This window comes from Homo sapiens, chromosome 1 (genome assembly GCF_000001405.40).
Source record: "Homo sapiens chromosome 1, GRCh38.p14 Primary Assembly".
Classification (NCBI taxonomy): Eukaryota; Metazoa; Chordata; class Mammalia; order Primates; family Hominidae; genus Homo; species Homo sapiens.
The window spans coordinates 31,778,603-31,789,488 of record NC_000001.11 but is presented as its reverse complement, the minus strand read 5'-3'; the positions used below and the strand labels follow the sequence as shown (position 1 = coordinate 31,789,488).

General features: G+C 53.7%; 3 annotated features.

Moving 5' to 3' along the window:
* Window positions 97–386: a silencer, noted in NCBI's record as "silent region_578". NCBI's record gives its function as "represses an Ori minimal core promoter by ATAC-STARR-seq in GM12878 lymphoblastoid cells {active_cell/tissue: GM12878}" and the evidence as "EXISTENCE:reporter gene assay evidence [ECO:0000049][PMID:35858748]".
* Window positions 552–1,327: an enhancer, noted in NCBI's record as "H3K27ac hESC enhancer chr1:32253763-32254538 (GRCh37/hg19 assembly coordinates)". NCBI's record gives its function as "activates a minimal SCP1, AML or CMV promoter by ChIP-STARR-seq in primed H9 embryonic stem cells {active_cell/tissue: H9 hESC(primed)}" and the evidence as "EXISTENCE:reporter gene assay evidence [ECO:0000049][PMID:30033119]".
* Window positions 717–766: a silencer, noted in NCBI's record as "silent region_577". NCBI's record gives its function as "represses an Ori minimal core promoter by ATAC-STARR-seq in GM12878 lymphoblastoid cells {active_cell/tissue: GM12878}" and the evidence as "EXISTENCE:reporter gene assay evidence [ECO:0000049][PMID:35858748]".

Below are 10,886 nucleotides of genomic sequence, written 5' to 3'. Positions count from 1 at the left end.
TCACCCTGGCCCCTGCTGGACTGGAAGGGGTGGGGCGATGGTCGGTTGGGGGAGCCCTTCTTCTCTGCCCCATGAGCTCTGCGGCTGCCCTACCCGCGGACGACAGCAGAGGGGGCCCTCGGCCTTGGGATGGAGGTCGGGGCTGGCAGGACCGGAGTCAAAGCGGGGGGTGGGGCGAGGTGCGGGAACTTAGCGCAAGGAGTTGGAAGCGGGGGCGGGGTAGGATGCGGGTGGGGTGCGGGTGAGGGGTAGGGAGAGGGGGCTGGACAGTTGAACCGGGAGAGGGAGCGGGGCTCCTTCGGGAACTTTTCCGGCTCGAAATGGCCTGGGAGCGCCGCAGCCTCCGCGCTCTATGCAAATGACGCAAATTACTATGCAAACCTACAGCTTGGTTCTGAGCCCACAGTTTGGGTGGTTTTCCTAATGCAGTTGGTATGGAGGGAAACGGGTGTGCACTCCCTCCCCTCCAGGTCCAGGGCTTCCTCCGGAGAGCCGCCAGAGCCGCTCTCCTGGAACACGCAGGCAAGAGCGAGCTCTGTACCCTGGGCAGGGATTTCCTTTGGGAGCTTCAGTTTTCCCTTCTGTAAATGGGGGTGATAACGCGGCTCTGTAACAGCTCGCCCGTGGAAGGGCTGTAGGTGGGCCCCGAAATCCTGCAGCCTGCTAAACATGACACCCTCCCCCACCCCCGCCACCTTTTGGCCCCAGTCCACGAGCCCCTTGCCCCTCTCTCTCTCGGCAGAAGCCTGGAGCGAGGATTAGGCATGACGTTGCTAGGGGGCGTGACTGACGGTTGCTAGGCTCCAGGGACGTTGCTATGCAACGCTGGGCGGGGCTTGTTGTTGCTAGGCCGGAGCCGGAATCGCCCGGGACCCGGAAGGGACACCTCGCGCCCTGGGTTTTAGTGGAAGGCGCCCCAGGCTACCAGGGATCGCGACACTGCTCTCCCGGTGACTTTCTTCGGGCCTGAGCTTCCCCCGGCTGGACGCAGTTTCTGAGGGTCCTTCCGGTTCACACTCTGCCACTCCGTGATCCTCTTGGCTCCGGAGTGAAGAACCCTGCGTCTTTGTGCACGTGTCTGTGCGCCTGCCTGTGAGGGGGGTGGGGGTGCAGAGCGGGTATCGCTTTTGGATTTCCATAGCAACTGCTCCTGTGTCACCCCATTGCTCCCAAAGGTTTGAGCGGTTGCTTGTACAAATTTACATATATCTGCATGTCATTAACATAGAGGCGGGGCCGGAACTTGTTTGGGCAACTATCCCTGGACGGTTCTCTTTGCTTCTTCCTCATCCCGTCTGATAGGCATGTGGGCTGCGCATGCGTGAGTGTTTAGCCTGTCCATGTTCTCAGATGTGGGGTGGATGAGTGAGCTGTGACAGTGACCATCAGTTCCCTTTCCCCACGTCCCCTTATTGAACCCTTAGCATGAATCCATCCAGATATCCCTGACTGAAGACACCCAGCTTCCCAAGCAATGCCAGGCCTTGTTGGCACTCCAATTCCTTTTCTGGCTGTGTGGCCTTGACAAGTTTAGTTACCCTCTCTGTGGCTCAGTTTTCTTCTCTGTAAACAGGGATACTAATCTCTAACTTACCAGGTGATGGGAGGGTTTAACTGGTTGCCACTTTTACACACACTAATTGCTGCTTTCTGGCCTACAGTAGGCACTCAGTGGTGCTCCCTTCCTCCCTCCCTGGAGCCCAACTCTTCTCAGAACCCAACCAAAGCAAATCAACTTCAGTTGCCGCTTAAGACATGACAACTAGACACCAGAAGAACTTCCAGATGTCAGGGCAGACTGGATTTGATGCACAGGATGAGGACTATTGTTTTCTCTATTTGTCCTTCTTGGAAGCTGGAGGTCAGGTTGGTGAGTGTGGACCCTCCTACCGCCTCCCCCTTATACCCTTGTCTCTCTCAGGGAGCCCACTGGTTTCCAGAAAACTTGCTTTCTTGTCCCAAAGGCCTGGAGCCTGAGACGGCTGTAGCAGTGACAGCTGAGCTTGGGAGGCCCGAAGACCAGGGCAGAGCAGGTGGTGGCTAAGGAAGTACCTTCCAGGACTGAGGTGTTTGGGATGGAGCAGGACTGGGATGGAAGGGAGACTGAGAGCAGAAACTGCTTGGAGAGCCACATGTCTGTTCCTTTACCAGAGAGGACTGGGGAACCCTGGGGCCACCCCCTTGCCCTTTCTGAGCCTCAGTTTCCCTGTTGTAGGCAGTAAGGACTCCTCTGTTTCAACTTGTGTGGGGGGTAATAAGTCAGCTCAGTATGGAGAACCTTCTCGTTGCTGCAGCTATGTAACAGTGCCATGGAGGGAGTTCCCTGTTCTTTGCACTGTGCAAGCAGAAGCCGAGAGGGACCCCTTAAGTGTGCTGGATAGGAGCAGCAGAATTCCTGGAGGCTCTTGTTCATTTAAAAACTGGGGTTGGCTCCTATCCTGTGTGGAGGAAGATTGTTGGTGATGGACAGGGATGTAAGAACTGGGTTCCAAGGGGTTGAGTGGCTTCCTGGAGGAGGTAGGACTGCATGGAGACCATACTCTGCAGTTGTCACTCTGACTGCTGTATGCAAGACTGCTGTCTGCTGGTGGATGGCGGTGGGCCAGCCAACTGTGCTCCACAGGTGAGGGTTCCAGGGACAGGCTGTGAGCCTGGCAGTGTCCGGCTGGCCCGCCTGTGTCCCACTCTGGGGGCCAATTAAGTCTCCATCCCTAGTCGCGCCGATTAACAGTTAATAAGGCAGCAAACACCTGCAGCTATGGAGGCGAATTAAGAGCAACAGTCGGCATAATACACAACCCGATAAGTGAGCAATTAACAACCGGAGAAAGATTAATAGAAGCAATTACGTTCCTACTCGGAGCTCTGTAAATACAACTGTCAATGGCCAGGGTATTCAGTTCAGTCCTGCCTGGCCCCACCCCGGGCCACAGCCTCTGTTGGCAGGGGTGCCCACTGAGCCAGACTGTGGATCCTGGACCGCAGAGGCATGTACACAGGCACAGATATGCAAATGCACACAGAGATATACACATCCAGACATACTTAGAGAGGTGGCCCACAGAATGCAGTCATATAGATATAAAAATTCCCCACTGTCTCACATACTCGCATTCACAGACGGGTACACACAGACACACATAGGGCCTTCCAGAAGCATACACAGAGATACACAGAAAAATACCCACAGTGTCATAAAGATACATTTTCACAGAGCTAGAGCCACACAGACTACCAGTGACACTCACATATACAAACAGACGTGTAGACACACACAGATTTTTACTCATAGGGTCACATATGCATGCAACCCTCCTGTGATGCCCTTCAGAGGGTTGTCCATAGTGGGTGAGGGCGGCAGCAGGGCCCTGGACTGAGAGAGAACTGGAGTGAACTGGAGAGAATTGAACTGAGAGAGAACTGGAGGGTGGGAGGGGACACGGGAGGGACAGAATGTGTGTGAAAACATGCAAGTGTGTCTGCATGCATGTGACTCTAAGCATGTGCATCTTTGCAAGAATGTGTTTCACCCATGTATGGGCACATTACTGTGTGTAAACATGCATGTGCCTATACGTCTGTGTGGCTGCATGAGGTGAGTGTCTCATGATGCCTGGGTATATGTACGTGTACTGTGCCCAGCAGATCTGTGACTACACATGTGGGTGTCTGGATCACGTGTGATCACGCTGTGCCAGTGTCCATGTCTAGGTAATTGTGTGCCTGTACTTCCGAGTGGCTTTACATGTGTCCTGTCTCTGTGCTGGGGCCAGGGAGGGACGCTTCCCTGGGAAGCCTGGGATGGTGCCTGAAAGCAGAGTTGTCCCCCCACTGCCCACCACCGGAATGGGGCTCAAGGACAGGCAGGGATGCTCTCAGCCTGACTTGGCTTCCCTCACAGGGACTTCAGCCCCTTTCAAGAGATTGACATGGAGGTTAATTTCTCCTGCTTGAAAGCTGAGCCAGGAATTCACTGAGCACCTTCCTCTTAAAGCCACAGCTCCAGTCCCCACTGGGCTCAAGCCCTCCCCACCCTTGTCTCCACCCTGAGCTTCCCTGGGAAAACCCCCAGACGTGAGACCCATGCACTTTGCTCGCGTTCTGGGACATACACTGTCATGCACAGAATACAGTCATGCAGACACACAAACATGGCCAGTCACGAATACGAACACATCACATTTTGCTTGTGACACCCCGACCTAGCCAGTGTGTGCACAGGCTGGCCACACACACAAAATCCCACACAGCTGCACCCCCACATGTCCACTTGCCCATCACTCTCTGAGATGAGCCGAGTGCCAAGCCGGAGGGCCCAGAGGGGTATCCTGCGACAGGTCCCCCCACCTTCCCCAGCCTGGCCAGATGGTGGAGGCTGACAGGCCCCAAGGGAGCTCTCCATCACCGCTAACCCGCTGGCTGCCAGGCGGGCACTGAGGCCTGGCTCCGCCAGAAGTAGGCTGGGGTGTAAATAAGGAAGTAATGAAGCTCATCAGCCTCTCCCCTCAGCCCCCACTGCCCCAGGCCAGGATAGAGCCTGTCCCAAGGTCTCTCATTCACACTCAGACATCTACAGGACACAGAAGGACTTGGATGCATGTGGGCATTCTCCCTCTAACGCCACAGGCACAGGGGCCCCTTCTGCAGGGTGAGCCACTCGCCAGGCCACAGCTGACCTTGCAGAGAGCCTGCCTCCCCTATCTGCCTCCCACCATCTAATCAAAACAGGCAGAAAACAATAATGTTCAGGGAAACAGATCTGAGGGCCCCAAAGCCAAAGCATCTGCCTGTCAGTCTGTTCTTCCATCAGTCCGTCCAGCCTTCTGTCTGACTTTTATTCGCTCAGTCCTTGTTTTTCATTTATTCACTTGCTCATTCAGTCATTCAGCCAATAAAGACTTTAAACAAATCATGACATTCAGTCCAGTGACCTGGCTGCCCTCCTGGCATCCTGGCCTGGGGGTGCAGGAGCTGGGAAAGGAGAAAAGGGGGCCTGGGCTATGAGGGAGGAGGAAGAGGAAGTGGAGGGGATCCCCATTCCCTGCTTCTTGCTCAGTCTCTTAAATGAAAGAGAAGGGGCTTCTGCAGCTGGAGAGAGAGAGAAAAAAAAGCCAAATCCTAGAATAATAGATAATAATAGCTAACGCTTACGCACTGGTACTCTGTGCCAGGCACTGTTCAAATTGCTTTACATGAATTAACTCAGTTCATCCTCATAACAACTCTGAGAGGCAAGTACTATTATTAACCCTACTGGGGGGCACAGGAAGGTTAAGTAACTTGCCCAAGGTCAAACAGCTTGTCAGAGCCACCCCAAGTGTTTCAAGAGCCTAGGGCAACAACACAAAAGGAGGTCCCCAGCCCTCCGCCCACCTCCCTTCTCATCCTACCTTGGGCTCCATCCTGCAGTATAAGGGCCCTTGTCTGCATGCCGGTGGGCACCCCAACACTGCAATCCCTGCTAGGTCCACACTCCTGGCAAACAGCCACCCTTTGGGCTTGAGGAGGAAGGACGCACATGGGAAAGTGGCTCTATAGACCCTGGTTGTTGGCTTAGGCCTCCTTGGGCAGGGAATTCCAGGGTCATGGGTTGGAATATGGCCTAGAAGGGGACTGGAGCTCCAGGTGGACCCTGAACCTTTGAATTCCTCACCCCCATGCAGAAGAGGGCCAAAGGATGTCATCTAAAATGGGACCCCAGGGCATGGACCTTGTTTGCCCAGGTCTGAGAGTCCTGGGGACAGTAAGTGGCAGGTCCCAGATATGATCCCAGTCATTCCTGTCAGGCCCTCTCCCGAGACTGGTGGGCGCTGAGGGAGTGGAGAGGAAAGAGGTTGCTGAGTTTTGCTTCCCCATCCCAACTCTGACCTTACCAAGTTCAGGCCATTTCCACCAATGGGTACGCACCCCAGCTCCATGCTGGGTACCAGGGTCTGTTGAGGATGACTCGAATTGTTTTTCTTACTGTAAATTGACCAATTACGGTTGTATTTATGGGGTACAAAGTGGTGTTATGATTTTTTAATACACTGTGGAATGATTAAATTAAGCTAATCAGCATATCTAGCTCCTCAAATATTTAACATTTTTTTTGTGATGAGAACATTGGAAATTTACTCTCTTAGCGATATTGGAATGAGTTCTCATCTTGTCACCCCTCCCTCTCCGTTTCCGCCGGCATCCCCACCCCTCCTGACCAGGGACTGGGGAAGAAGTGGAGGCTCCTGGGATTGGATGGGGACCTTCCGTGTCAGCACAGCCAGCCCCTGCCTCTGCTTCCCCAGGATTCCTGCTGGGCCTCCAGAGGCTTTTCCACACAATTACCCAGGCCAGGAATTTCGATCTCTGGTGCCAGCCAGGCCCTTCTTATGCAAATATAGGGAAATGAGATGCAAACAGAGCCGTCCCAGATTAACAGAGAAATCCCTGGCAGCTGGAGGAGTCACCTTAAAGTCAGTTCACCCCAGATTCCCCAGTACCCCTCTCCCAGGCTCTGTCGGGCTGGGCCTGCCTGGCCTCTCCCCTTCCTGGCCACCACTTTTCTACCCCCTCAGAAGCCTGCTCAGTCACAGGAAGGGGCTGGACAAGGGGGGCCACCAAGGCCCACCCAGCTTGAGATCTCTGCCTCTTCCTCTCACTTTAAAGAAATCCAGGCAGGGGTGGAAGTTAGCGGGGAGTGGTGAGTGGAGCTGAGCCAGAGGGAGACTTCTGTTTTGCCCCATAGAAGAGGGACTTCACACACACACATGCTCACACACACAGTTGAGAGTGAGAGCAGCCCCTGCAATACACACATATACACTCATGCTGACAATGACACAAGCCTGGCAACACCACCCTACAGGCCTGGCCAAGCCCCGCTTCCCCTGATACCATCAATCAAAGCACAGACACTCAGAGGCTGCAGTGCAGAGAGCGAACAGGCTATGTCCCTGGCCTGGGGTCTGGTGGGTGGTGGGTGCTGCTGGTAGGTCCCTGGCTGTATTTGAAGACAGAGGGAATACAAGATCCCACCTGGGGCATGACGCCCCAGGAAGGGGGCTGGGAGTGTGTGGAAGAAGCTGCAGCCTGGATGCTGCCCACCAGAACCCCTTAGGGCGTTCAGGCTGGTGTCTATGTCCCGGGCATGCCCAGGGGAGCCTGGCCCCTGACCAGCCCAACCAGCCCAGGCCCAACTTCTAAAAATAAGAGCCGAGAATCTCAGCCTCTGGTTGGTTCTGCAGGAGCCTGTTGCCTTGGCAACCCCTTCTCAGAGGCCTCCCTCCTGGCTGGGCTGCCCCGTTGAGCTGCGGGTCCCTATGCCAGCCCCCTGTGCTGGCCTCTCTGCCAGCCAGCCCTCTGCCCTGTCCTCCTGGAGGAGGGTGGGGTGTGGGGGGCAGGGCAGGAGGGAGGACCTTGGGGACTCTGGCTGAGCATAATGGCCTGCGTGTGAGACCCAGCCTGGGGCTGGCAGTGTCAGAGGCCGTGTAACTGTCGGGTGGTGACTGTGTGTGTGACAGTCCTGTATCTTACAGCTCCCCTGGGTATACATCAGTGCCTGTGACTTGACTCTCAGAGCCCCGTGGGTGGCTGTGCTCCCTCTCTGAGGATGTGTGTCCCCGCGTGTGACAGCGTGTGCCCGTGTCCTGAGGGAGGGACCTGGCCGGGGACTTCCTCGCCTCCCTGTGGACTTCCCTCATCGTTGCCCGCCCCACCTTCCAGGGCTGGCAGTGCAGAGGTGACGAAGGTGCGGGGTGCTCAGGGTGAGCCAGAGGTCAGGCTGGGTGTGGTGGCGGGACCAAGGTCAACTTCTCCCACCTTCTGCAGCCTAATATCATAGAAGCCCCAAATCTGTCTATCTAGGGGAAATGGAGGAGGAAGCCACTCCTAAAACTGCGATCGAAATCTCTGAGCGTGCTGTAGTCACTGTCAGCAGCAGAGGCCCCCTCCCCCCACTCTGCCTCCACTCTTCAATTAATCACCAAGTCCTGTCCAATCTCCTCCTAATCACTGCTTCCAAGGGCCCCTCCTCTCTTGGCCACCACTGCCTAGCCCAGGCCAAACCCTCCCTCCTCTGGACGTGCAGCAGCCTCCCCACCGCTGCCCCCTTGGCCCAGGTTCCACATCTGGCCTCTCTCTATCTCCCACACCCCATCCCCTCACCATTCTGTGTTCACGAAGATAAAACACAGCTTAGATCCTGTCACCCCCCTGCTTAGGACCCAAACAGAGGGAGGATTGGAGTTCTAGGCTGGGGAACATGTATGTGCAAAGCCACAGAGGCAAGAGAGATCCTGGCCTCTTCTGGAAACTCTTAGTCACTGGTGTGGCTAGGTGAGGGGACAAGAGGGAGAGGATGGGGGTGGACAGAGGCCTGACCAGGGAAGGCCCAGAAGATCAGGCTGAGAGGCTGACACTTTGCAACGCTCCACTTTGTTCCTAGAGCAAAGTGTCAGTTCCTCACCCTGGTCTTCTGGGCCTTCCCTGGTCAGGCCTCTGTCCACCCCCATCCTCTCCCTGTTGTCCCCTCACCTAGCCACACCAGTGACTGAGAGTTTCCAGAAGAGGCCAGGATCTCTTTTGCCTCTGTGCCTTTGCACATACCTGTTCCCCAGCCTAGAACTCCAATCCTGCCTCCGTTGGATAAAGCTTAGTCATTGTGGGACACAGCGCAGGCATTGCCTCCAATGGGAAGCCTTCCCTGACTGCCAGCAGGCTGGGTTAGGAGTCTCTGTTTCTCCTAACATCCTGGGCTACTCCCCCAACCACACACACACACACACACACACACACACACACTGCATATATTTCTAATGTCTTTTATTTCCCCCTGAAAATGTATACAAGATTTGGAAGAAACAGAACAGTATAAATTGAAACAGAAAATCACCCAGAATCCTCTCAGGTTAACTCTCAGTTTATTTCTTTCCAGACTTCTTCAAACAAACTGATGAAACATTTTCTTTATAAAATAAAGCCCATCCTATCTGTATGGTTTTCTTTCCTGCTTTGTTTCATGTATCATTATATTGTGAGCATTTGCCCAGGTTATTAAAACTTCTTCAAGAACATGACTTTTAATGTTTGCATAATATCCTTATATATGGATATATCATAATTTATTTAACCAACCCTCTATTGCTAGACATTTATGTTGGTTGTGATTTTTCATAGTTGTAAATAACAGTAATAAGCATCTTTGTACCTGGTTCTTTTTAACAGCTGTGGTTATTTTTTGGATTGAGTTCCTCCAAGTAGATTAATGGGACCAAAGGGTCTATCTGTTTTTAAAGCTCTTGACACTCCTGCCCAGTGGCCTTCTAGAAAAGTTGTTCTAATTTACCCTTTCATCAACGGAGTCTGAGAGCGCCCAGATTGCAGTTTTCACCAACGCTGGTGCTATCTTTAAAAAACAAAACAAAACAAAACAAAAACCTGTCTTAATTTCAATAGGTAAAACTGCATTATACTGTTGTTTTAATTTGCATTTCTTTGATTACTGGGGAGGATAAACCTTTTGGATCTCCTCTTTTGTGTCATGCATGCATCACACTGAGCTATAATTATATTTTCACATCCTGCCTCTCCCTCACCAACCTCAGCTCTGAGGGCGGGAGCTGGGACGGAGGACGTCGTGTGCCTAGAGTACTGCGTGGATTGGATTGAGGCCTCTGGCTTCAGTCTGAGCTTTGGCCTTGGGCAGACCAGGAGGTCAAGCCTAGCTCTGAGGCTTGAACTTGGGCAAATCGTCTTGCTTCTCTGGGCCTCAGTTTCCTCCTGTGTCAAGTGGGTTTGAAAGAGCACTAGACGGCCCGGCGCCATGGCTCACGCCTGTAATCCCAGCAGTTTGGGAGGCCGAGGCAGGCGGATCACGAGGTCAGGAGATTGAGACCATCCTGGCTAACACGGTGAAACCCCGTCTCTACTAAAAATACAAAAAATTAGCCGGGGGTGGTGGCAGGTGCCTGTAGTCCCAGCTACTCGGGAGGCTGAGGCAGGAGAATGGCGTGAACCCAGGAGGCAGAGATTGAAGTAAGCCGAGATCGTGCCACTGCACTTCAGCCTGGGGGACAGAGTGAGACTACGTCTCAAAAAAAAAAAAAAAAAGAAAAAAAAATGAGCACTAGACATGAAGAGTGTGGAGAGGTGTGTGAAGAGCTGCGAGCAGAGGCGAGTTTTTTCAGGGCTAGGAGGCAGTGTTCCACTCACATCCAGGGAGCTGAGTTTGCTGAGGGAAGAGAAAATGTTCAGGACCAGCCAACTCCTCCTTCCCCGAGGCAAGATGGCGCCCAGATGTCTCTTGGTTCACAGGTGGATAGGAGCTCAGAGAAAAGTGTCCAGGCAAGACTGGGAAGGACCATGGCACAGCAGACAGGTTTCAAATTCAAGTTCAGCCCAGACCAGGGAGTTCCTGTCCTTCTGGTAAGTCAAGAGTGGCTCTGTTCATGTGTGGCAGCGTTTTTGTGTTGTGGGCTATTGCCCACACCATTGCCTGCTATGATTTAATCACCATTGTTAGTGCCAACTGAACAGAGAGGGAGAGTATCTCTGCCCTGGTGGCACAGCATCTCTTCTGGAGACTGGCCCTCAGCCATGGGGAGTGTCTTGGAGACAAACCCCTGCTGGGGGCGCCCTCATCCATTCTGGCTCAGGACATATTCCAAGACAGACACGCACAATTTCTCCGCACATTACTAGCCTAATGATACTGTCATTTGGAGTCTGGAAATGAGGAGAAATTGGCTTTTTCTCGGTAATTAATGTGAGCGATGGGCCTTGAGATAGAGTAGCAGCCCCCCGGGTGAGAACCAAGCTCTCAGGCAAGTCAGCCAGGTCATCCTCCTGCCTGTGGAAAGATCTGTGTTCCATCCCCGGCTTCTTCTTCCCGACACCCCTTGGATAGGTGA